Raw genomic sequence first — 26,642 nt, forward strand, 5'->3', positions numbered from 1 at the left:
TATGGGAGAAAGCCTGAATGCCAAAAACACTTGATTTTCAAGAGTCAGATATGTGAGAAAGAAGCCATTTTTATTTTATTTTGTATTCTAAAAAACTTGACTTTACAATTAAAGGCTATAGATGAAGCCACTGAGAACAACATAGAGTGTATGATCATATAATAAAAGGATAGTTTTGGTGACGTAGAGAGACATCAGACAGAGAGTCTCTGAGAGTGCTCAGCAACCTGACTGTCTCCTGCTGGACACTGAAGAGCAGGATGAGAGAAACCCAGATCATTTAGTGCATCCCAGAGCAGAGCCATAGGCTGGTTTCTGTAGCCCAGCAAGCCTCGGAGGACAAAGAACAAGAGTGGTAAAAGCAAAATACTTGAGTGGACCACCTGGGTGGATGGAAGCCTCATTTGCTCACATGCACCCATGGGCAGGTAAGGGAAAGCAGCCAAGCACTAGTGGCCACAGAAGTGCTGAATAGGGAGGTGGACAGATTCGAAGGGTCCTGTTATCAGGACAAAGGTATGCAGTGCTCCTGGGCCCATTGCCCACTAGAGACTATATAGCAGGGCTGGGCACATCTGCTTCAGCACCAGCATATGGCAGCAGGAGCCAAAGGACATGATGCCAGGACAAGATAACCCACCCCATGCTAGAAAGATGAGAAAGCCTCTTGGAATTAAGATCACCATGGGAAAGAAGAGGGGAAAGGGAGACAACTGACTTAAGTTTATACTCTGAATTGATACACATCAATACAAAAGCAGCTAAGATTTATAAAAGTAAGTTTTCTCTCATCAGCAGAAGTGGGCTGTCCTGAACTAAGTATCTGTTACAGAGAAATGAAGACACATATTTTTATCTCTGAGCCTGTGTAAAATTCATACCTGCTATAAAGATGAAATAGGTAAAGATATTTCCCTTGCTATAAAATATAATTTCACATTAGAGAAAAGCACAGGAAGTTTCCCAATACAATTTACAAAGCTAGCGCAAGTGTAATACCACAACTTAACAAAGTGAAAAAAAAAAAGAGTAATTACCAACTGTTTTAGTCCATTCTCACGCCGCTGATAAAGACATACCCAAGACTGAGCAATTTACAAAAGAAAGAGGTTTAATTGGGCTTACAGTTCACATAGCTGGGGAAGCCTCACAATCATGGCGGAAGGCAAGGAGGAGCCAAAGTCACATCTTACATGGATGGTGGCAGGCAAAAAATGAGAGAGGTTGTGCAGGGACACTCTTATTTTATTTATTTATTTATATTATTATTATTATTATTTTAAGACAGAGTTTTGCTCTTGTTGCCCAGGCTGGAGTGCAATGATGTGATCTTGGCTCACCACAACCACCATCCCCCAGTTTCAAGCAATTCTCCTGCCTCAGCCTCCCGAGTAGCTGGGATTACAGGCATGCGCCACCATGCCCAGCTAATTTTGTATTTTTAGTAGAGATGGGGTTTCTCCATGTTGGTCAGGCTGGTCTCAGACTGCCGACCTCAGGTGATCCACCCACCTTGGCCTCCCAAAGTGCTGGGATTACAAGCGTGAGTCACCATGCCCAGCCTCCTGTTTTTTTTGTTTTTGTTTTTTGTTTTGTTTTTTTGTTTGTTTGTTTTTACCATCAGATCTCATGAGACTCATTTATTATTGCAAGAACCGCACAGGAAAGACCCGCCACCATAATTCAGTCACTTCCCACCAGGTTCCTCCCACAACACGTGGGAATTGTGGGAGTTACAATTCAAGATGAGATTTGGGTGGGGACATAGCCAAACCATATCACCTTTCTTATGAAAATAAAAGCATTCCAACATTCATTCCTAATATTAAAAACACATCTGAATGGAGCTCATAAGTAAGCAGACCATGTTCTGTGGGGCAAAGGTGTTCCATGTAGCAATCAGAAAAATATACAGCGACAATCTTGTTTTCTGCAAAAAAATAAGACCATTTATTGTGCTATTGGGAAATCAGATTTCTGTCCTGCTCAGTAGGCATTTTCAGCACCTGCTCCTATACCAGTCCTCCTGCTAGAAAGGACCAGTGCCATCATGATGCCATCTCTGATTGTCCCCCAGCACCAGTGAACCCTCAGGGGACTCACATGAAGGCTCCAAGACACCATACAATCGTGTATGGTCAGTGAAGATCTGGTAGTTTGTTGTCAGTGAGCAATATCTTTATTATATGAGTTCTTGTAGCATCTTAAGAATTATACATGTATTTGAAATACCCAAACTAAGCTACACGGCTAGTAATTAGCTTTATTTTATTTATTTATTTATTTATTTATTTATTTATTTATTTATTTATTTATTGAGATGGAGTCTTGCTCTGTCACCCAGGCTGGAGTGCAATGGTGCGGTCTCAACTCACTGCAACCTCCACCTCCTGGGTTCAAGTGATTCTCCTGCCTCAGCTTCCCGAGTAGCTGGGATTACAGGCGCCCACCACCACGCCAGGCTAATTTTTGTATTTTTAGTAGAGATGGGGTTTCACCATGTTGGCCAGGCTGGTCTCGAATTCCTGACATCAGATAATCTGCTCACCTCAGCCTTCCAAAGTGTTTGGATTACAAGTGTGAGCCACCACATCTGGCGTAGTAATTAGCTTTAGAATCTCATTTCTAGGCTGAATTTGAATCCATATTTATTGTCTTTTGTATCTTGGAAATTAGAGACTTGCTATAGACTAACCCAAATATTTGTCAACCTCATAGCTGACTTTAAAAATAATTGTAATACAATTAAGCTATCTGACTCAAAAAGAAAATCTAAGTGGAAAGACATCTTTTGTTCATAGATTGGAAGCCTTAATGTTGCTAAGATGTCAATACTACCAAATAAATTTAATGATTTAATGCAATCCCTATCAAAATCCCAATTATGCTTTTTTGCAGAAATAGAAAAAAAATTGTAAAATTCATATAGAATCTCAGGGGACCCCCGAATAGCCACAACAATCTTGAAAAAGCACAATAAAGTTAGAAGACTCATACTTCCTGATGTCTAAAATTACTAAAAAGCTACAGTAATCAAAACAGTGTGTCACTGACATAAAGACAGAACATCAACCAGTGGAATAGAGAAGAAGCCCAGAAATAAACCCTTGCATATATGGTCAAAGGATTTTTGACAAGGTTGCCAAGACCAGCCAATGAGGGAAGGATAGTCTTTTCAACAAACGGTACTAGAAAAACTGGATATCTACATTAAAAAGGATGAAATTTTTGCCTTTTACCATATGTAAAATTAACTCAAAATGGATTAAAGGTCTAATTGTAAGAGCTAGAACTATAAAGCTCTTAGAAGAAAACATAGAGGCAAAGCTTTATGGCACTGGATTTGGCAATGATTTATTGAATATGACATAAAAAAGACAGACAACAATAAAATAAACAAACTGGACTCCATGAAAATTAGAAACTTCTGCACATCAAAGAACACTGTCAACAGAGTAAAAAGGCAACTCACAGAATGGGAGAAAATATGTGTAAATCACATCCCTAATAATGGATTAATACTCAGAATATATAGAAAATTTATAAAACTCAGCTGGGTGCGGTGGCTCATGCCTGTAATCCCAGCACTTTGGGAGGCCGAGGTGGGCAGATCACTTGAGGTCAGGAGTTCAAGACCAGCCTGGTCAAAGTAGGGAAACCCTATCTCTACTAAGAAAACACAAAAATTAGCCAGATGTGGTGGCCTGCGCCTGTAGTCCCAGCTACTTGGGAGGCTGAGGCAAGAGAATTGCTTGAACTCAGGAGGTGGAAGTTGCAGTAAGCTGAGATGGCACCACTGCACTCCAGCCTGAGCAACAGAGTAAGACTTTGTCTCAAAAAAAAAGAAAAGAAAAAAAGAAAACTTATGAGACCCAACAACAAAAAAACAAACAACCCAAGCAAAAAACGGGTGAAGGACTTGAATAGACATTTTTCCAAAGACATACAAATGGCCAATAAGTATGTGAAAAGATGCTCAACATCAGGCCGGGTGTGGTGGCTCATGCCCGTAATCCCAGCACTTTGGGAAGCCAGGGTCGGAGGACTGAGCCTAGGAATTCAAGACTAGCCTAGGCAACACAGCAAAACCTTACCTCCATGAAAAGAAAAAAAAAAGCGGGGTGGTGGGGGGAACATCAACAACAATGCTCAATATTATTAATCATTAAGGAAATGCAAATGAAAATTACAATGAGATATCACTCTATATCCTATAGCTATAGTAATTAGCTTTAGAATCTTGTTTTTCCTAATATTATCCCTAATATTAAAAACACATCTGAATGGAGCTCATAATAAGTACGCAGACCATACTCTGTGGAGCAAAGAAATTCCATGTAGCACTCTAGGATGTCCATTATATATATTTTTAATACCAGAAAATAACAAGTGTTTACAAGGATGTAGAGACATTAAAATACTCTGCACTACTGATGGGGATGGAAAATGGTGTAGCTGCTATGCAAACCAGTGTGGTAGTTTCTCAAAACATTAAAAAATAGAATTACCATAAAATCTAGCAATTCCTCTTCTGGGTATATATTCAAAAGAATTTAAAGCAGGGTCTTAGAGAGACCTTTGTAGTAGCATCATCTCATTAACTTGAAGCAACCCAAGTGTCCATCAACCATCATCATATGTATGTATCCATTCAATGAACGAATGGATAAATAAAATGTCATATACACATACAGTGGAATATTATTCAGCCTTAAAAAGGAAGAAAATTCAGACATGCTGCAACATGAATGGGCCTTGAAGGCATTATTATGCTAAGTGAAATAAGCCAGTCATAAAAGGGTAAATACTGGCTGGGCATGGTGGCTCAGGCCTGTAATCCCAGCACTTTGGGAGGCTGAGGCGGGTGGATCACCTGAGGTCAGGAGTTCAAGACCATCCCGGCCAACATGGTGAAACCCCGTCTCTACTAAAAATACAGAAAAATTAGCTGGGCGTGATGGCAGGCGCCTGTAATCCCAGCTACTTTGGGAGGCTGAGGCAGAAGAATCGCTTGAACCCAGGAGGCAGAGAGCCGAGATCGTGCCACTGCACTACAGACTGGGCGACAATAGCAAAACTCTGTCTAAAAAAAAAAAAAAAAAAAAAAAAAAGGGTAAATACTATCTCACTCATATGAGGTACTTAGAATAGTCAAATTTATAGACACAGAAAGTAGAATGGTAGTTGCTAGGGGCTGTGGAGAGGGCAGAATGGAGAGTTATTGTTAAAGGAGTATAGAGTCGTAGTTTCACAAGATAAAAAAGTTCTGGAGATGGATGGTGGGGATGGTGGCACAACAATGCGAATGTGTAGTACTTAATGTCAGTGAACTGTCCACTTAAAAATGGTTAAAATGGGGCTGGGTGCCATGGCTCACACCTGTAATCCCAGCACTTTGGGAGGCTGAGGCAGGAGAATCACTTGAGTCCAGGAGTTCGAGAGCAGCCTGGGCAACATGGTAAAACCCCATCTCTACAAAAATCACAAAAAACAGCCAGCAAGGTGGTGCGCGCCTGTAGTCTTAGTTACTCAGGAGGCTGAGGTGGGAGGATGGCTTGATCCTGGAAGGCTGAGTTGCAGTGAGCTATGATCAAACCACTGTACTTCAGCCTGGGTGACAGAGTGAGACCCTGTCTCAAAAAAAAAAAAAATTGTTAAAATGGTAAGTTTTATGTTATGAATATTTTTCACAATTAAAATTTTAAAACATTAAAAAACAATTTTAAAAATCTTAGTTAAGCTAAAATGGGAGTTTTTTCTTAACAAATTAAATGAAGTATATATTAAATCATAAATATATATGGAGAAAGTGATTAAATTTAATAAAGTTTATTAAAGAAATCTTAACTTTTTAAAAAAATATCGAATAAATGGAGATACATATCTAGTTAGTTGAGAAGATTTAATATTTCAAGAATATCAGTTTTCCTTATGAATTCATAAAAGTAATTCCAGTCAAAATTTTGAGTTTTTAGTGCAACTTTACAAAATAAGTCTAAACTTCATTTGGAAGAGTCAATGTGGCAGAATATTCAAGACATTTTTTGAAAAAGAAAGTTAATGGAGTGTAGAGGGGAGAATATTATGCCTTATTAATAGTTTTCCTGTAAAGCTACAATAATTAAAACAGTATGATATGTTACAACAATAAATAGCTCAATGAAACAAAATTGAAAGTCTAGGAATAAACCCAAGAATGAGTAAATATTTAATATATGGTAAGAGTGTGATTTAATTAGGGAAGTAAGACGCTGGGACAACTGACTATTAATAAAAAAAATCAGATAGTTCAAAGAGAAAAGTATAACATAATGAGAAGAATAATATAAAATATTTATATGATATTGGAGAGGGAAAGGCCTTTCTAAGAATAAAAGCAAAAAAAAAAGACACTCTAAACAAAAAATGGATCTTTTACAAGATAAAAATCTGGAATTCTTGAATGTCAAAAAACAGTATAAAAGTCAAGCAACAAATTAGGTGTATTCATTTGTTTTAACACTGCTGATAAACACATACCCGAGACTGGGTGATTTATAAAGAAAAAGAGGTTTAATGGACTCACAGTTCCACATGGCTGGGGAGGCCTCACAATCATGGCGGAAGGTGAAAGGCACATCTTAAATGGCAGCAGGCAAGAGAGAGAATGAGAGCCAAGCAAAAGGGGTTTCCCCTTATAAAACCATCAGCTCTTGTGTGACTTATTCACTACCACAAGAACAGTATGGGGTAACCCCCCCACCCCCGCATGATTCAATTACCTCTCACCGAGTCCCTTCCACAACATGTGGGAATTATGGGAGCTATAATTCAAGATGAGATTTGGGTGGAGACACAGCCAAACCATATCACTGGGAAATAATATTGACAACAGATGACAAAATACTAATAATATATAAAGAAAGCCATTATAAACCAATAAGAACAAAAGTAGCTTTCCACTCGAAAAATGTGTAAAGACCGTGAACAAATAATCACAGGGGAAGAAATAAAAATTTGACTAAAACAATGCAAAATGAAGCACTAGCACTCAAAGAATGCAAAACGAAGCCAGGTACATTTTGATACATAATGCCTATCAAAAGCCTTAAAATGTTTATATAATTTAACCGAGATATTCTATCTGAAATTTACCTTAAGGAAATGCCCAAGTATAATCAATATTATTTATAATAGTAATAATCTGAAAACCATATCAGTTTAACAATAGGAAATTAGAATTTTACAAATTATAGTTTTGTTTTCTGTGTTTTCAGACAGGGTCTCACTCGTCATCTAGGCTGGAGTGCAGTGGCAGGATCGGGGTCACTGCAACCTTGACCTCCTTGGGCTCAGGTGATCCTCCCACTTTAATCTCCCAAGTAGCTGGGACTACAGGCATGTGTCACTATGCCCAGCTAGTTTTTCTATTTTTTGTAGAGATGGGGTTTCCACATGTTGCCCAGGCTGGTCTTGAACACCTAGACTTAAGTGATCTGCCCACGTCAGCCTACTGTACCTGGCCAAATTGTAGTATTTTATACAGGAGAATGCACCACCATAATTTAGAAACACACTGTCTCAGTCCATTTGTCCTGCTATAACAAAATACACAGGTGGGATAATTTATAAAGAAAAGAAATTTAGTTTCTCAGAGCTCTGGAGACGGGAAAGCACAAGATTAAGGCACCAGCAGGTTGCACATCTGGTGAGCGCTGCTCTTTACCTCCAAGATGGCACCTTGTTGCTGCATCCTCACGCGGCAGAAGGTGGAAATACAGGAGGAATGAACACGGCACCAAGCCTCTTTTAGAAAGGCCTTGAACCCATTCACCGGGGGGAGCCCTCATGACCTAATCACCTCCTAAAGGCCCCACCTCTTAATACCATGACATTGGCCATTATGTTTCAACATATGAATTTTGTTCAGACCATAGCATACACCATTAAAAATAATGTAAGCTGGGCATTGTGCATGCCTGTGGTCCCAGCTACTTGGGAGACTAAGGCAGGAGGATTGCTTGAGCTCAGGAGTTCCAGGCTGCAGTGAGGTATAATCATGCCACTGCATTTCAGAACCTGGGTCACAGGGCAAGACTCTGTCCCTAAAAAAAAAAAAAAATTTGATTTATTTTTTATTTTTTGTGGAGACAGTATCTCACCCTGTTGCCCAGGCTGGTCTTGAGCTCCTGGGCTCAAGCGATCCTCCCTCAGTCTCCCAAAGTGCTGAGATTACAGGCATGAGCCACTATGCCCGACCACAAAAACTATTTTTTAAAAACCCATCAGTCTCATACTCTATGTTCTCGTTTAATTTCCTTCTTTCCACACACAACTCCGCAGATGGTTGCTGCTAAACTGTGACAGTCTTTACCTCCGTTTGTCCCCTCAATGTTGCACGGTTTGATTTGTAATTTTCTAGTGCCTTCTCCCATTCTCCAGTGTAATCATTACAAACCTTCTGCACCCTCAATAAACCTCTCTATCTGTGTTTCATGGTCCTTTCTACTTTATAGAGAAAAATAGAAGTTACGAGACAAAAACCACCTGAAATCCTCCATCTTCCTCCCAACATGAGGGAGAAGCCATTTCCCCTTGAGTCTAAGCTGAGTTTTCTTCCTGTGCTTCAGCCCTCTCCTTCCCACCCTCACTCAGCCCATATTACTTCTCTCTTTCCCTTTTTCCTTTTTCTGTATTTTTTTTTAAGAGACAAGATCTCATTCTGTCACCCAGGCTGCAGTGCAGTGGCATGATCTTGGCTCACTGCAGCCTTGAACTCCTGGGCTCAAGCGATTCTCCTACCTCAGCCTCCCAAGTAGCTGCAGCTACCGGCATGTGTCACTACGCCCATCTATTTTTTTTTTTTTAAGTAGAGGTGAGGTCTTGCTATGTTGCCCAGGCTGGTCTCGAACTCCTGGGCTCAAGTGATCCTTACATCTCGACCTCCCAAAGTGCTGGGATGAGCCACTACACCTGGCCCTATCTCTCTCCTTTCCTTCACAGCCAGACTCCTTGGAAGAGCAACCTGCACGCACTGCCTCCACTTCTACAAACCGACTTCCACAGCTCCACTGGTTCTGAAAGAACAAGGCCAGCTTGTTCACTGGCAACTCAATCTGAAGGACATGCTGCACTGCCCATTGCTGAACTTCTGTGCAGCATTTGACACCTGACTACTCTCCCTTGAAATGCTCACCTCCTTCGGTGTATCTGGGCCTTTCTGGTTTTCCTTCCACCTCCCTGGCCAGTCTATCCTTTGAATGTGACTTTCCCTCAGGTTTTGCCCACTGGATTCATCTTCTTACTTTCTGCAGGATAACCTCCACTCTTCTCCTGCTTCAGCTATCCCCTTGCTGGGAATGATCTACACATCCCTATCTAAGTTGATTTACCCCCTTGCTGGCCATTATTTACACATCCCTATCTAAGTCCAAATCCTGGTATCCAGCTGCCTCCTGGATGTTTCCACTTGGATGTGTCTCAGGCCCCTTGCACTTGAACTTGTATAAAGGAATTGGCCTCATCTCCTTCTGCAAATCTGCTCTTCCTCTGTGTTCTCAGTTTCAATGGACCACCTTCCACCCAGGACCCCAGCCCAGATGGTGGGCGTCAGTCACGATGCCCTCTCTCCCTCTTCCTCGCATTCCGTCAAAGGCCACTTCCTGTTAAGAGTAGAGCCTGGATGTTCCAAACCAACTCCTCCACTAGGCACGGCGCTTAGGGTTCATGACACATGTAGGGGCTCATGAAAAAGTTTTCATTTCTTTTAAAATTAGAAGAATAAAATTAACATAACCTGGCCCAAAGTATATTCATTTTTATACCAATGCAGTCATCACACGTAATTTTAAATATCATTTAATGGAGGAAATGGTCCACAAAGTCAAAAGTGCCCAGACCCCACCAAAGTCAGCGCATGGCCTTGCTAAGGTTTCTTGAATCTGGTATACTGCTTCATGTCTGTTGTCACCACTGTCAGCCCTCCCGGGGACGTTAGGTGCCACCACACACCCTCCTTCTTGCTATGCCTCCAGTCTCACCCACTTCCACACCACTTTCTGCCCTGCAACCAGAGAGATCTTCCTGAGCTGCTTCTGCACTTCCCTGGTATAAAAGCCTTTTGCTCAGTGGTTCTCAAACATTAACAGGCATCAGAGGCGCTCGGAGCAGGCTGCGAAGATGTGGAGGGTTGGACCCTACTCCCAGCGTTTCAGACTCAGTAGATCTGAAGAGGAGCCTGACAACTGGCTTTTCTGACCTGCTCCCCTGGCTGCTGACCATGCTTTGAGAACCTCCTGCTCTAGCAGTTCCCCTGTTCTGTCAGGATGAAGTCCACACTTCCTCACAAGGCCCTTCCAGATATGGCCTTCTTTTTCCTTCTCGGCTTCATCCCTCCTCCTGCCTTTCTGAATCTGCCGTGCAGCCATCCTGCGATGGGTGCAGTTTCCCGGGAAGGCATGCTCTCCACCAGGCCCCTGCGCCTTTGCACAGGCATAGCCTCCCTTGCCGGGAACTTCTCCAGCCTTCACTCCCTTCCCCTGACCTGGCTGGTGCTTCTCAACCTTGCTGCCTGTTCTCAGAAGTCTCCTGTTCAGGAAAGTCATGTTGGTCCTCCACCTGCCCCCAAGACAGTGCCCCTCTAGGGGCTCTGACCCCACCCTGTGCTCACCTCTCCTGGCTTTTATTTCCCTGAACTCTAACCGCCTGCTTATTTTTCTTTCTTACATTTGTTTGTTGGTTTGTTTATTTATAGACAGGGTCTCACTCCCTTGCCCAAGCTGGAGTGCAGTGGCCCGATCATCGCTCATTGCACCCTCAACCTCCTGGGCTCAAGCAATCCTCCCCTCTCGGCCTCCCAAGTAGCTGGGGTCACAGGTGTGTGCTGCCATACAGGACTAATTTTTTTTATTTTGTGTAGAGATGGGGTCTCCTGGGCTATGTTTCCCAGGCTGGTCTCGAACTCCTGGCCTCAAGCAATCTTCCCACCTTGGCCTCCCAAAGCACTGAGATTACAGGCGTGAGCCACCACACCTGGTCTGCTCTCCCCCATGTCAAACCACGAGAGACCCTGGAGGGCAAGCAGTGGGTCTCACTCCCAGCTGTATCAGCAGTGCCCAGCCCGGGCCTGGCACTTCCTCACTGATGAAACGATCACTGAATGAATGGAGAAATGGGTGATGGGAGGGAGGCCCTTCTCTTTCATTATATAATGAAAATCTCCCTCCTTGCTAAGGCAAAGATGGAAATGTCAGAGGCAGAGGCTGCTTAGGGGACAGAGGGAAGAGGCAAAGTCTGCAGGAGGGGGTAGCACAGAGGTACCCTCCTTCCTGGAGGCCTCTTCTATCCCTCAACAGACCAGAGCAGCAGCCTGCCCCACCGGCATCTTCTCAGCCATCTCAGCCCATCAACCTCACCACCCCTCCCACGCCCCACCATTTGAGTCAGATGAGACCCACCCCAGGCACCAGCCCTTCCAGGGAGTCACCTGACCACTTCCGGGGCTCCCAGCCAGCTCCGCTGGGAGCCATGTGATCACTTAGGTATGCACGACCAGCTCCTCAAGGGATGCTCTGAGGGGTGACCTTGCTGTCCAGAACGGGCCCAGCTCCCTCCCTCCGAGTTTGCTGATATATGGTTGGGCTGATTCCCGGGTCTAGGGTGGGGGTATGGAGGGAGGAAAGCCGGGAGGAAAGGGCAGGGGAGACTGGTTTGTTCTCTGCAGACATCTGGCCCCGATTTCCAAGCCTGGGTTACATAACACCTGAGGAGAACTGGGCTCCCGTCACCCACACCTCTTCCCTTTCTGTGGAGCATTTCACAACTGCAGCTGCTTCTCAGAGGTCTATTTTGGGAGCTGTTTTCATTTGACCTATATTAAGCACAGTCACAAGGCAGAGGCAAAGTGCGGGGTGCAGGGTGGCCTGCCGGCTCTTTGTGCCGTTTTTAGTGTCTTGGGTGAGACAACCAGACAAGCTGGGGGCCCACAGCACTCACTCCAGCGCAGGCCAGGCCTCTGCCCCATTTCACAATTCTAATTTTCCTCCTCCTGAGGCCCAGCTAAAAGATTAGACCTTAGTCACTGCCACATTGGTCAGGGAGAGATTTCGGTTCCCTGAAGGCCTAGAAGCTATAAGGCCAGGCCAGGTTGCATCCTGGGTCTATGAAGTGCAGTTTGTAGAGAGTTTAATTGGCCATCAAGCCCCTCCACTGGGAATTCCCTTTCCTGAGGTAAAAATTAAATCACATGACCAGCAGGGGGAGAGAAAGGGCTGCTGGGAGCTGCATGGCCCAGGTACTGTGCTCAGGTAGGTACTGTGCACAAACAGGTACTGTGCACAATCAGGTACTACTCAGAGTTCCTGCTACACGAACTTTAAAGACCCGCGCATAAAATGACAAGGGAAATGCCTCACCCACTAAGCGCCCCAATTGTCCCTCTTCATCTGGGGTTATCTCCTGGATCAATGTTTTGTCCCTTGAGATTCTTTCTATCATCTCCCTGGACATCTCTTTCCAGGGCCTAGACATCTCTTTCCAGGGCCTAAACATCTCCCCCAATACTGCTGACCCCAAAACCCACATGGGAGGCGCCTCCTCTCTCCCAAGAGAGTCAAGCCCACATCTCCAAACAGTTGTCCCCCTGGCGCATCACATGTAAAGGGCTCAAAGTGGAACTGCATGCTTCCTTCCCACCCAAACCAGCCCTCTCCCCTCTGATGCTGCTCTTGGTGGGGCCCCTTCACCTGCCCCACCCTGTTTCTACCTTAGAAGGGGTGGAACGGGGTCTTCTCTCACTAGCTGGGGAGATCCTGAAGTTGCATTTCCTTGGAACTGCCAGAAAAGACTGCAGGCTGTGGGACAGGCTTTGGTGGGAGTTTGTCACACATACCAAAAGGGTCCCTTGACTCCCTCCCACCAGAGCTGGCTAGAGGCACAGCAGGAAGTGGAGAGGTGAGGCCCTTGGGAGTTGGTGCATGCGGTGTGTTTCATGTGGCCCAAGTGCTGGAGGCCTGAGGCTGAGAAGGCCAGGGGATGTGAACTAAAATGCAGAAGCGAAAGGAGATAAAAAGCACTAGAAAGTGCTAGAACTAGGCTTGGACTAGAGGGTGTCAAACCTGACGGATGGGCAGAAACTTCTAGGTACACAGCCCCCAGGTAAGATCAGAAAACGCACCTCACACAGGATGTGTGTGAAACCTGGAGAATGCAACAGGCTTGTTGGAGCAAAAGGTGGGATAGGCAAGAAAGAGGGAACCAGTCCAAGGGGGCCTGAATTCAAACCTGCTTTTCCAGCTGGGTGGCCCCTTCCCTCCCTCCTCTTCCCTCCCTCCTGTCTCTTCCTAGATCTCTCTCTCTAAAGACCACTGGGGGCCAGGTGCGGTGGCTCACACCTGTAATCTCAGCACTTTGGGAGGCCAATGCGGGCGGATCATGAGGTCAGGAGTTCGGGACCAGCCTGACCAACATGGTGAAACACCGTCTCTACTAAAAATATAAAAATTAGCCAAGTGTGGTGACACACACCTGTAATCCCAGCTACTCAGGAGGCTGAGCCAGGAGAATCACTTAAACCCAGGAGGTGGAAGTTGCAGTGAGCCAAGATCATGCCATTGCACTCCAGCCTGGGTGACAGAGCGAGACTCTGTCTCAAAAAATAAATAAATAAATAATAAAATAAAATAAAAAATAAAGACCACTGGGGACTCCTGGGGGAGAAGGGCAAGGGTCAAAGCTGTAAAGTCCTTTATTTAAGCCGAAATTATGAGACCACCTCAGGCAGAGAGCTGACGACAGCCAGTGGGTATCACAGTTTGAAAACAGGCTGTCTCCCAGGACATCCTACTGCAAAGAGAGATTCCCGGACAGTAAATATTTCTGTTTTGGAGGTGGGGAAGACGGGACAAAAAGAGCTGTGGAAAGAACCTGGAAGCAGAGCCAAGCAAGGCACTTGAGGGGTTCAGGAAGAAAAATCCACTTAAGTCGTCAAGGAATAAAAAGGCAGTATTGTTTTCTACCCAACAAAGTGCCAAAGAAGAAAAATAAAAGAGAGTGATCCCAATATTGGGAATACCGCCATTTTTAGTTGGGGTAAATGTCAGAAGCACTGTTTTTGTTGACATAGCATAATCCATAGAACTTTTTTTTTTCTGATACAGTCTCATTCTGTCACCCAGGCTGGACTGCAGTGGTGCCATCTCAGCTCACTGAAACCATCACCTCCCTAGTTCAAGTGATTCTTGTGTCTCAGCCTCCCAAGTAGCCGTGATTACAAGCATGTGCCACCATCCCCAGATAGGTTTTTTTTTTTTAAGTAGACACGGGTTTTGCTATATTGGCCAGGCTGGTCTCGAACTCCTGATCTCAAATGATCCACCGGCCTCGGCCTCCCAAAGTGCTAGGATTACAGGCGTGAGCCACTGTGCCTGGCCTAGAACAATTTTTTAATGAAAATATACATATCAAGATGCAAGCTCCCAGGCAGGTACAGTGGCTTATGCCTGCCATCCCAGCTACTTGGGAGGCTGAGGTGGAAGAGTTGCTTGACTCCAGGAGTTCGAGACCAGCCTGGCCAACATAGCAAGACACCATCTCTACAAAATTAATTAATTTATTAACAGCTCCCACTATTTAACTCAGTTTCCTCCTTCAGCTAATTTAGTAATACTTCAATGAAGAACAAAAGCTTCCTTGTCCACTAACTACATGCTGCACAAAGGTAGGAGCAATGACTTTCACCCTACACTTCTCAGCACCCAGCACTTTCCTGGAACACAGTGGATGCTCAATAGATATTTGTCGAAGGCCAGGTGTAGTGACTCATGCCTGTATTCTCATCAATTTGGGAGGGTAAGGCAGGTGGATTGCTTGAGCCCAGGAGGTCAAGATCAGCCTGGGCAACATGGCAAAACCCCGTCTCTACAAAACATTAGCTGGGCATGGTGGTGTGTGCCTGTAGTTCCAGCTACTCAGGAGGCTGAGATGGGAGGATTGCTTAAGCCTGGGAGGTGGAGGCTGCAGTAAGCCGAGATCATATCACTGCACTCCAGCTTGGGTGACAGAATGCGACCCTTTCTCAAAAAAAAAAAAAAAAGCTGTTGAAAGAACAAATTTGCAAAGAAGCTCCTTGATCACTGAGAACACCTTAAGTGGTAGGAGAACTGGTTAATTCCATCATGGTATACCCATTGATAGTAGTATTAGGCAACTGTTAAAAAGGTATGAATAAGAAAATAGCTATAAAAATGTGTGGGGACATATTGGGATATATGATTATCAACTGGGTACTAGATAATATTGGGGAATTTTTATTAATTTTCTTAAATGTGATGGTGGTTTTGTGGTTATATAGGAGAATTCATGTTAAAATATTTAGGAGTAATGCCAGGCATGGTGGCTCAGGCATGTAGTCCCAGCTACTGGGGAGGCTGGAGTGGGAGGATTGCTTGAGCCCAAGAGTCCTATGCTGACCAGATGTCTGCACTAAGCTCCACATCAATATGGTGACATCCTGGGAATGAGGGACCACCAGGTTACCTAAGGAAGGAAAACTCCCGTGCTGATCAGTAGTGGAATTGCGCCTGTGACTAGCCACCACACTCCAGCCTGGGCAACATAGTGAGACCCCATCTCTAAAAAAAGAAAAATATCTTCTTTTTAAATCTTTTAAAATAATTGTGTTAAAATAAAAAATCGGTATTTAGGAGTAAAGTGACATGATGTCTACAAGTTATTTTGAAAAGTTATGGCCCAAAAAATACCCCAAAATTTAACAATTGTTCAGTTTATTTAAAAAATACCCCAAAATACGGTGAAACCCTGTCTCTACTAAAAATACAAAAAATTAGCCAGGCGTGTTGGCGGGTGCCTGTAGTCCCAGCTACTCAGGAGGCTGAGGCAGGAGAATGGCGTGAGCCCGGGAGGTGGAGCTTGCAGTGAGCCGAGATGGTGCCACTGCACTCCAGCCTGGGCGACAGAGCGAGATCTGTCTCAAAAAAAAAAAAAACAAAAAAACAAAAAAAACCCCAAAACTTAACAATTGTTAAGTTTAGGTAAGGAGAATATCAGTATTTATTGTACTTTTTTTTTTTTTAGTTTTTTTTATGTTTGCAAACATTTACAATAAGAAGTTAGAAAACAGAATGTATTCCACGTAACAGGAGGCTAGAAGAAAGAAAGGAAAAAATGTTTCTGTATTTATTTCCTTTCTAATAAATTATAACTGCATGTTCATTGACTGTATTTACTTGCTAGAAATCATTTACGAGTAAATATCTGATAAAAAAGCAAAAAACATATAACAGTATATGACATGCAAATAGAATAACTAAAAATAGTTGGTATTCAGATGTTGAAATCATGTGTTTTTTTTAACTTAACTTCCTGTTATGTTTTCTTATCTTTGAAAGTAAGTTTAAAAGTTATTTACAGAAAGTAGTTCCCTGCCTGTCTTCCTTTATCTTATATATGGCCATGATGTATACATATATTCCCATCTTTATTAGAATCTTTTATGAACCAAGTTATTTAACATACCAAGTTGCAACTTTGTGTTTTGACTTGGTTAAATTACATTTTCTTTTATCACTGACCTTTGGGATGCAATAAAATAATTAAAATACTGTTCTTACCCTAAGAAAAACAAAATCCACCCATATTTGTTGCTTTAATGACATTTTACAAGGGAAATAAAAGATCTTTCCAAACATTTTTCTTTCTTCCTCCCTTCCTTTCAAAATAATTAATTTGTTTATTATTTTGGTAAATAAATAAATCTGTGCTTCTCTCAAACACTCCAATCTAAAAGTATTACATACATATTGTAAAAATCTGGAAAATATAAAAATACATACAGAAAAGAAAATTCTAAGAACAATAATTTTACCATCCGGAGATAACTACTTTTTATATTTTGTAATAGTTCTTTCTATCCTTTGTGTATGAATTTTTTTTGGTTTTGTGTACAATCATGTACTGTGGATGTGTGTGTGTGCACGCATGTACCACACAGATTCTATCTTATGGATACGCCATTATTTATTGAAGACATCCCCTCTTGGAGGACAGTTTATTTTTTTCTTCATTTTTTCCCCACTATCACTAGTGTTTATGACGTCCTATACATAAACCTTTTCCTGACTTGTGATTATTTCCTTAGATTTTGTTAGTAGAGTTTTCTTGAGCCAAATTATGGGAATTCTTTTTTTTTCTTTTTTCTTTTTTCTTTTTCTTTTCTTTTCTTTTCTTTCTTTTTTTTTTTTTTTTGGGACAGAGTGAGACTCTGTGACAGAGTCTCACTCTGTCACCAGGCTGGAGTGCAGTGGAGCGATCGCAGCTCACTGCAACCTCTGCCTCCTGGGTTCAAGCAATTCTCCTGCCTCAGCCTCCTGAGTAGCTGGGACTATAGGCGCGTGCCATCACGCTCAGCTAATTTTTATATTTTTTTAGTAGAGACGGGGTTTCACCACGTTGGCCAGGATAGTCTCGATCTATTGACCTCGTGATCCACCCTCCTTGGCCTCCCAAAGTGCTGGGATTACAGGTGTGAGCCACTGTGCCCAGCCAGGTATAAGAATTCTTTTAAGCCTCTTAATATATATGTAGAGAAGCAAAAAAGAAAAGTTTTCCTCTATCCTGTTAGGTTCATTATTTGAGGGCTGTAAATTGAACTGACAAACAGCAGATTAATAGGAGAAAAAAAGGTTTATTTATGTGCACGTGGGAGTCAATAAAAGAAGTAGCATATATCATCTGATTAGTTTCCAGATATATTTTGCTAATTTACACTCCTACTAAGCAGAAGGAGTATTATCACTCTTTAAAATCCTCACCAATTTGATAGGTTAAAAATTAATCTAATTTTCACTTTAAAAATTACTAAGTAAGGCAAAACCTTTTTAAATGGTTGCTTCTATATTTATTTCCTTTTTCATGAATTATAACTGCATGTTCATTGCCTATTTTTACTTGCTAGAAATCATTTACTAGTAAATTTAAATCCTTCAGATTTTACGTATTCAATTGTTACATTAGAATATTTATGAAGATAAACAGTGAAAAACTTGTGTATTTACCTTACCAGTGTGAAGAGAAATAAGAATTCATTTAATCACCAAATTCCTTAGTAATTTTGAAAAACAGAAGGGCCAGTTCATTTAATCGGGGCAATTTTGATTGTTATGCTAGCTGTCTTCAAAGTGAAATTCTGAACTAATGTCCAACACCAAGTTTTTTTAAAAAACAAACTCTGTGGATATTTAAAATCAGAGCTCTAAATTCCAAGGAATCTTTTCTTCTAACAACTTTGTGTGATGTCCCAAATACTTTAGAAATCCCAAATTACAACTTCGTGTTTCAACTTGATTACATTAAGTGCACCTCACCCCATAGCCGTGACCCAAAAACAATATTTTTAAATTTGCTCTCATCTCCTATATTTAACTTTCTCTTTCAGCCACAGCCAATCAAAAGAAAACACCAAATTGCTTGGTGATGTTTCTTCTTCCAAGTATGATACGTTATCTGTTTGTAGAGATTAAAGCAAAAGAATTTGTTCACAACTTTTCCAATTTTAAACCACCAACTGATTTGTCTCTGAGATTTATACAAGTATTTTCCAGAATTCTATTTCAGTACATATAAAAGGTCTGCTTGTCAGATTACATATTCTTTTCTTACGATCTCATTTCCTGTTGTAAAGCAAGTTGTCAGTGCCTGGCACACCTGCCAGAACTCATTCAAGAAATGCTTACTGGCTGGAGTTGATTCAACCACCCAGTAAAAGTGAAATGTTTCCTTATCTCTGGTTGTGGTGACAATCATTTTTAAACCTAGGCTGAATTTTATCGATATTCAAAAGAAAGAGAGCTTGGATGAGTCTGGGGGAGCTACCCGCAGCTCATTCCTGGTGTAGGACCCCCTCACCCTGGCTACTGCTCTTCTGTACTTCAGTGGAGCCCTGAGACATTCTCTCGCCAGGGCAGGCCCCTCTAGACTGTTGTAAGTAGGCTGGTTTTGAGAGCTGGGTCTTTTGCCAAACAGATTCATTTGAATAAGACACCAGGTCCTTGCCTCGAATTAGGGAATTCAGGAATTTGCAGCTGTGGGTAGTCCAGGCTTCTTCTGTGGGGGTTGAAAGAGGGCAGAGGTGGGAGGTGGGGTAGGGGTGAAGCTGAAAGGGACAGAGGTGGGTGCAGTCAGCTGCCCTGTCCCCCCACTGCCTGCCCCTGAAGCAACTCAGTGTGTTTTCTTGGTGTGCAGAATGAGCAATAGGCCCACTCCTGGCTGGCATACTCTTACAGCAAAGTGCCAGCTTTTCCAGACGAGTTTAGGGTCTCAGCCTGGCCCTGAGCCCAGTCAGCTGAGCACCAGCTGCAGTGGCGCCTTGCTGCTGCAGCCTGGGCGGTTCCATATCCGCCACTTTACACTCAGGTGCAACTGGCCACTTTGCCCACCTGCCCCCCGATACCAGGCGCCCCTACCAGGATCTTAAGGCCCTCAATGTATAAATGGTGGTGACCGTTACCAGAGAGGCTGAGTCCTGGGACCTGCCCAGGCATTTCTGCAGTAGACTAGAAGAGAGCAGCCACCTGCTTGCTCCAGTGACCTCTGGCTCTGTCCTGCCACCATTGCAACTAACCCAAGTGCAGGAAGACTCAGAGGCCACTGGTTCAGTGCCTCCATCCCTATGCCATCAAGTAGCCAAGAAAGGGCCTGGGCAAGATGACAGTGTGTTTTAAACCCGTTCTCCCTGTCTCCTGGCCTTCCCACCTGCTGTCGGGACACACTGCTCTACCATCTCCTTCCAATAGTCTTCTTGCCACTCCTCATTCTCAAATCTTTCTTGGCCAGGCTCGATGGCTCATGCCTGTAATCCCAGCACTTTGGGGAGGCCGAGGTCGGTGGATCACTTGAGGTCAGGAGTTCGTGACCAGCCTGGCCAACATGGAGAAACCCTGTCTCTACTAAAAATGCAAAAATTAGCTGAGTATAATGGTGGGTGCCTGTAACCCCAGCTACTCAGGAGGTTGAGGCAGGAGAATCACTTGAACCCAGGAGGCAGATGTTGCAGTGAGCTGAGATGACACCATTGGCAAGAGGATCACTTGAGCCCATGAGGTTGAGGCTGCAATGAGCTGTGATTGCGCCACTGCACTCCAGCCTGAGAGACAGAGCGAGACAACGTCACAAAAACAAACAAACAAATGAAGAAAACCCCATGGATCTTTCTCACATACTATCTTATTCCATTCAGGCTGCTATAATAAAGTACCTTAAACTGGGTGACTTATAAACAGAAATTTATTGCTCACAGTTCCAAAGGCTGGACAGTCTGAGATCAAGGTGCCAGCTGACTCAGTGTCGGGTGAGGGCTGGTTTCTCACAGACAGCGCCTTCTGGCTGCTTCCTCTCAGGGCAGAAGGGCCGAACAAGCTTCCTCAGGCCTCTGCCTCTTTTATAAGGGCACTAATCCCATTCCTGACGGTGAAGCCCTCATGACCCGATGACCTGCCCAAAGCCCCACCTCTTAATACTACCACATTCCAGATTATGTTTCAATATATGAATTTGGGGAGGACACATTCAGATCATAGCACATAACAACATAGAACTGTCCAGCAAGTTAGACTTTCACTTCTGTGTACACCCCAATTACTGACACAGGCACTGTCTTGAGGATGGGGAGGTGCCTCTGATGTTGGGTTAGAAATTCTGGGAACTACGGTGGATTAGCTCTGCTTGCCATGTGTAAAGGGGGAATATGGACAACATGCAGATAAATCTGCACTGATGTGTGACACTTTTACCTTGATCCAGTGAAAGACAGTTCAAACCATTTAGTTAAAAAAAAAAAAAACAAAAAAGAAGAAGAAGAAGGAGCAAGGCCAGGCACATGCCTGTAATATTAGCACTTTGGGAAGCTGAGGCAGGAGGATCACTTGAGGCCAGGAGTTTGAGGTATGGCTGGGCAACAAAGTGAGACCCACCTCTCAAGAAAAAAAAAAAAAAGAAACAAAAGAAACGAAACTCTGAGGTTGACAGTTCAGCCAGAGTAAAGCATGAGTAAAAAAATATAGAGAGTTACTTAGTTTTGGTGATGGTTATCATAACCTAGGTTTTACTTTTCTACCTTGAGGGAAAAAGGTTTTGGATGTGCAAAAGAAATAGAGGTATGACTTTTTTATCACTTAAATAACTGGTTTCACATACTTTGGATGGTTCTGTTAAATATTCAGCAGTGTAACGTGTTTTTTTTTTTGAGACAGAGTTTTGCTCTGTCACCCAGGCTGGAGTGCAGTGGCGCCATCTTGGCTCATTGCAACCTCTGCCTCTCAGGTTCAAGCAATCCTCCTGCCTCAGCCTCCCGAGTAGCTGGGACTACAGGTGTGCGCCACCACGCCCAGCTAATTTTTGTATTTTTTAGTAGAGACGGGGTTTCACCATGTTGGCCAAGATGGTCTCGATCTCTTGACCTTGTGATCCACCTGCCTCAACCTCCCAAAGTGCTGGGATTACAGGCGTGAGCCACTGCGCCCAGCCAGTGCCACAGAATCTTACACTGCAGTGGGAATGAAGCCACCACAGCTATTCATATCAATGTGACCAGCTTTTAGTAATGCAAGGCTGAGTGCAAAAAAAAACAGTACAAAAAGCTGTTGTACATGTTGTATAATACAGTTTCTTAAAACTTAAAAGCAAGCCAACCTAAACAGTATATAATTTTGGGATGCCCATACAATATGGTACAAAATATCTTCAAAGACAATATCACCATCAAATAAATGACAAGCGCAAAATACAGAACAGGGGCTGGCTCTGTTGGAGAGGTCGGAGGTAGAAATTGGAAGTCACCACACAGGTGCAGCTTCAACCAGGCAGTGTATTGATTGTGTAATACATCAAGGTTTCATGGTTGATTGGGTCCTTGTTGTGTTTTATGACTTAGATATGTGTAATATTCTTACGCACCATATATTACATCATTTAAATATGTTGGTGACTATAGCAGAAGGAGACATGAGGCATATTCACAACGTGCAAGTGGAACATCTTCAATTTAAACCCAGACAGCTGGACTTGGGATTCCAGACTCTTAAACCCACCTGATCATGATGTAGTATTGTCTTTTTAAAGGTGTTTCTGGCCGACCGTGGTGGCTCATGCCTGGAATCCCAGCACAGTACTTTGGTGAGACCAAGGTGGGCAGATCACCTGAGGTCAGGAGTTCGAGACCAGCCTGGCCAACATGGCGAAACCCTGTCTCTACTAAAAATACAAAAATTAGCCGGGCATCATGGTGCATGCCTGTAATCCCAGCTACTCAGGAGGCTGAGGCAGGAGAATCACTTGAACCTGGGAGGCAGAGATTGCAGTGAGCCATTGCACTCACTGCACTCCAACCTGGGCAACAGAGTAAGATTCCATCTCAAAAAAGAAAAAGAAAAAAAAAGAGTGTTTTCAGTTTAGGAAAAAAAAAAAATCTGTTATAGTCATTGGTATAGAATTAGAGGCCCAGACTCATTTTCCTACCCCCACCCCTTAGTCCTTTGATCTTCCCAAATGATCGTGGTTCCCATGGGTGTGGCTAAGAGGGAGTGTTGGGGACCAGTCTCAACACCACCCATAGGGTACCCAAAGTCTGGTGGTGACAAAGGAATGAGAAGAGACAGGTTAAGAGTTCATAAAGGTGGGAGCCAGGGGGCCAGTTGCAAAATGGAGGCTGCAAAAGGCCCAGAGTTCTGGTTCCACACTATTTATTGAGTACAATCACTTCGATCTAAGAAGCAGATGTTCAGGGTGAAACAGTGAAAGGGAGGCACTGCGTCACAGGCGTAATCTATAGCAATAGCGGTTTAAATGAATCTCCTTTGTGCTCAAACAGCGTATCTTTAACTTATCGGAGAGGAGCTAGTGGGAGTGTGCTTAACTAGGAGGCTGCACGTCTGTCCACATTCCAATGCTTCAAAGGAGTGTCTTTCTCCTTGAACACAGTGTTTATAGATAAGAGAGCAGGTCTCGCTCTGAGCATGGGAACATGATGGCAATTAGGAGGCTTTCCTCCTCAGAGGCCTCTTGTGGCTTTCCACAACTTATTGTCCCATATTTTTATGGCCAGTTTATGCAGGCGCCCCACAAGCCCTTTTCCCAACAGGGAGGAAGGTGCGATGGAGGGCTGGAAGCATGCTTTTCCGGCATTCCCTATAGAACATTCCCAGCCAGACCTGCCTGATGAGAAGGCAGAGGATTGACCAGACCTCAGGGTGTGTCTTCACAGGCACTCCAATGCCCCTGACCTGGCCAGCCGTTCCTCTGCCTGGAGTCACTCTTCGGGCTGGAGTTACATGTAAGGGCATTGTTTCTAGAACCCACTCAGGCTCTCCCCTGGCCTACCCACCAGTGCACCCACAGGAGTCAGCCCAGCAGGCGGCACAAAGCCCTTCTCAACAGAGGTGCTAGCAGGCGCAGGAGCAAGGCTGGGACCCCTCAAGCCTGGGAAGCTGGAAGGGGGAAGCAGGTCAAGGACAGTTAAGTAAGAGATGGGAAAAGTAGTTGCCTTCCAGAGGAGTGGAGAACCAGGGGGCCTCTGCCAGTGACTGCAGCGAACATCAGAGACCCATGGGAGGGAACACTGCAAGGACGGTGGACTTCTCTCTCTCTCTCTCTCTCTCTCTCTCTTTCGTATTTAACTGATGAGGCACTTGGTAAGGGGTTGCCAGGGAATGGGTTGCTGGAAATGAATCCAGGTCTTCGATTCCCAGCCCAGTGCATTGCTTTTTTTTTTTTTTTTTTTTTTTCTGGGAGACAGGGTCTCACTCTTTTCGCCCAGGTGTGCAGTGCCTCACTGCAGCTGCAGCCTCAACTTCCTGCGCTCAGATGATTCTCCCACCTCAGCCTCCTGGATAACTGGGACTACAGTCATGGGCTACCATGCCTGGCTAATTTTTTGTAGAGACGGGGTTTTGCTGTGTTGCCCAGGCTGGTCTTGAACTACTGGACTCAAAGTATCCACCCACTTCAGCCTCCCAAAGTGCTGGGATTACAGGCATGAGCCACCACGCCTGGCCCCCAGTGCATTGTTATGGCAATTTTCTTTCTCTCTTCCCTTCTCCAGAATTCTATCCAGGGCCAACCCGTCAAAACATATTGAAAATGGAGAGAAAACAGAGCTCAAGTAATTTGGAGTGACATGGAGGCATGATCACCTCAGTATAAAGGTCCTTAGCATCCCAAATCAGGAGCTATCAAACCTATAGGACTCACAAAAAGGTAAACTAAGGTCCAGAAATCCACTCCAAGAAGCATAATGGCCAGTCTAGATTTTACACTAGATCAGTCCTGCTTCACATGTCTCCCGGCTGGCCAGCCCCGGATGTCCGGCCACTGTGAGCCGATAGCTTTTCTGCTGTTTGTTTTCTACCTGTGTGCAGGTGAGCAGAAGTAGGAGCAAAGCCTCCTCCCATCAACCAGCAACCACCCCTACCTTGCTTCTTCGTGGCCTTCCCTCTCCCCACCTTCCATGGCCTCTAGCTCAGGTAGCCAGAATTAATTACTGGTGGGGTTGAAGCCATAACTTGTTCCCTGGCTGTAGGCCAGGCTCTCAAGATGTGCGTCAGAAAGGCCAGTGAGTGAAATTCCAAAGCAGTGTGAGTCACCAGGGGCTGAGAAGAACAGGCCAGGACAATAAGAGCAGGATGTGGACCAAAATAGTGCCCTGAGGGCCAGGGGCTGGGCCAGGCATCAAGAATGCTCACCTGGCCAAAGATGGGGAACAGGGCCTCCGGTCTAGGTGGTTTATCTCTGTGCTCTGCACAGCCCTGGACGGGGAACAAAGCCTCTGGCCCAGGGTTTATCTCTGGGCTTTGCACAGCCCTGGAGGAGGAGGGAACTGACCAGCAGGCCGGCCCCCTGGTCACAGGAATCATGTCCTTCACCTGCCTTCCCATAAGCTGGACTTTGGATCCCAGCCCTTAAAACCCTTGTGTTGTTTCTTCCTGCAGACCTGGTCGAGAACACTACTTCAGGACAGGGAATAGTGACAGGCCAGCAGAGCCCCAGAGGCGAGGTGGCAGGTAAGTCTACAATCCTTGGGCCCTTGCTCTGTGCCCAGGGAAAAGAGAGGGATCTCCAAGCCCTGGCTTCTCTAACCTATCTTCACCTGGTCACTCACAGCACTGCACAATTTCCAGTTCTCAGAATCAGATTTCTTCCAAAGGAGGGATGTGTGAAGGGAGCACGAGGGGTGGGGGCAATCAGCAATCAGGAATCTTCCCCATCAAGGTGCGGTGGCCCCTGGACTGTGGCCCAGCAGCAACCTGTGGCAGCCAGATCTGGGGCAGGAGGTGGAGGGCTTCCACTCGTCATGAGGGTGTCCAGGGGGAGTGTCACCAGTCGCCATGTGCCAGCGGCAGGCCTGGATGCCACTCTCTCCTTGTGACCCTGGCCAGGACGGAACGGAAGGCCCCCAAGATCAAGTAGATGACACTGCACCCCACCCCCCACAACCCACTGAATCCTATCCATCCAGAGGGGTCACTGGCCAAGGGGAACACAGGAACAGCTTGTGATAAAGGGCCGCCTAGGCCCTCATGCCCACTCTATCTCCTGCCCCTCCCCAACTGAAGGCTGCTCTCCAGCATCTCTGTTGTCCTGCTCCTTCCCCTTTTTTTTTTTTTTTTTTTTTTTTGAGATGGAGTCTCACTCTGTCACCCAGGTTGGAGTGCAATGGCGCAATCTCGGCCCACTGCAAACTCCGCCTCCCGAATTCAAGTGATTCTCCTGCCTTAGCCTCCCATGTAGCTGGGATTACAGGGGCCTGCCACCATGCCTGGCTAATTTTTTTGTTTTTTTAATAGAGACAGGGTTTCAGCATATTGGCCACACTGGTTTCGAACTCCTGACCTCAAGTGACCCGCCCACCTCGGCCTCCCAAAGTGTTGGGATTACAGGCGTGAGCCACCGCACCTGACCTCCTTCCCCCTTTTCTTACTACTCACTCCCACGTCCTGGGTGGCCCATTCATGGCTCCACCCAACTCTGGGAGCTCCCCATCCTTCAGGCAGCAGGATCCATTTATCAAGAGAAACTGAGCAGCATCCCTAATCCTCTCCCTCTCTTGCCCTCAGCCCCCCAAATTTTGTTCCTTTCTGTAGCCACACTTGGCCAGGAGCTCTCAGGCTTACTGTAGGAATTCCTTCCAGGGCAACAGAGACCCCCAACCACTCCCCCACCCACAACCCAGCCAGGCTGCTGTCACTTCCTCGCAAAGGAGTAGCTGAATGGGTCACCCTGGCTTTTGGAAGGGTTGGGGCTGAGACAGATGCTAGCGAGGCTATGATAACTCAGACAAGGGGCTGAGGCTGATAGCCTCCACCGACACAGGTGGAGAAGGGCACGGGCTCTGCAGAAGTGGCAGCTTGGCTGATTTGGGCCCTCTTACCTCACCATGTAAGGATCTTGCTGGCCCTGTTAAGTTCACCTTTGCCTCAGACTGTAAGTTAAAGAACTTTGTATCTTCTCCCTCTTCCCTGACCTCTAGAGGAAACTCATCTGTAACTGCTAAGACCTGTCAGTTCCTCTGATGGCCATCTCTATCAATACACGCATACTTTCCTTCAATTGAGTTAAAAGTCACGTGCCTTGAAGCAAGAAAACATTTCCACTTTCTT

General features: G+C 44.7%; 1 protein-coding gene, 1 long non-coding RNA gene and 1 pseudogene across 7 annotated transcripts in view, besides 5 other annotated features; 2 read left to right on the top strand and 1 right to left on the bottom strand.

Annotated features, from left to right (window-relative positions):
- Window positions 1–26,642, top strand: part of RHOBTB2 (Rho related BTB domain containing 2) — a 69,387-nt gene that overhangs the window by 11,705 nt on the left and 31,040 nt on the right. For 4 of the 6 annotated variants that reach the window (XM_047421610.1, XM_047421607.1, XM_047421608.1 and 1 more), the window contains exon 1: window positions 24,734–25,046. The gene's annotated coding sequence lies outside the window, so the exon portion shown is untranslated. Of the gene's footprint in view, window positions 1–24,733; window positions 25,047–26,642 lie in introns of those variants that run through there. The other 2 variants (XM_047421609.1, XM_047421611.1) reach the window with 1 other exon arrangement.
- RHOBTB2-AS1 (RHOBTB2 antisense RNA 1) overlaps window positions 1–26,642 on the bottom strand; it is a 46,187-nt gene that overhangs the window by 8,899 nt on the left and 10,646 nt on the right. The gene's annotated exons all lie outside the window — the stretch shown is intronic.
- Window positions 8,686–13,320: an enhancer, noted in NCBI's record as "VISTA enhancer hs1927". NCBI's record gives its function as "enhancer in: heart[5/6]" and the evidence as "EXISTENCE:transgenic organism evidence [ECO:0001131][PMID:17130149]".
- Window positions 11,392–11,561: an enhancer, noted in NCBI's record as "active region_27098". NCBI's record gives its function as "activates an Ori minimal core promoter by ATAC-STARR-seq in GM12878 lymphoblastoid cells {active_cell/tissue: GM12878}" and the evidence as "EXISTENCE:reporter gene assay evidence [ECO:0000049][PMID:35858748]".
- Window positions 11,982–12,161: an enhancer, noted in NCBI's record as "active region_27099". NCBI's record gives its function as "activates an Ori minimal core promoter by ATAC-STARR-seq in GM12878 lymphoblastoid cells {active_cell/tissue: GM12878}" and the evidence as "EXISTENCE:reporter gene assay evidence [ECO:0000049][PMID:35858748]".
- On the top strand, window positions 15,360–15,610 carry RN7SL303P (RNA, 7SL, cytoplasmic 303, pseudogene; annotated as a pseudogene).
- Window positions 20,322–20,541: an enhancer, noted in NCBI's record as "active region_27100". NCBI's record gives its function as "activates an Ori minimal core promoter by ATAC-STARR-seq in GM12878 lymphoblastoid cells {active_cell/tissue: GM12878}" and the evidence as "EXISTENCE:reporter gene assay evidence [ECO:0000049][PMID:35858748]".
- Window positions 25,175–25,931: an enhancer, noted in NCBI's record as "H3K27ac-H3K4me1 hESC enhancer chr8:22845205-22845961 (GRCh37/hg19 assembly coordinates)". NCBI's record gives its function as "activates a minimal SCP1, AML or CMV promoter by ChIP-STARR-seq in naive H9 embryonic stem cells {active_cell/tissue: H9 hESC(naive)}" and the evidence as "EXISTENCE:reporter gene assay evidence [ECO:0000049][PMID:30033119]".

The sequence above is a fragment of the Homo sapiens genome, chromosome 8 (genome assembly GCF_000001405.40).
Source record: "Homo sapiens chromosome 8, GRCh38.p14 Primary Assembly".
Taxonomy (NCBI): domain Eukaryota; kingdom Metazoa; phylum Chordata; class Mammalia; order Primates; family Hominidae; genus Homo; species Homo sapiens.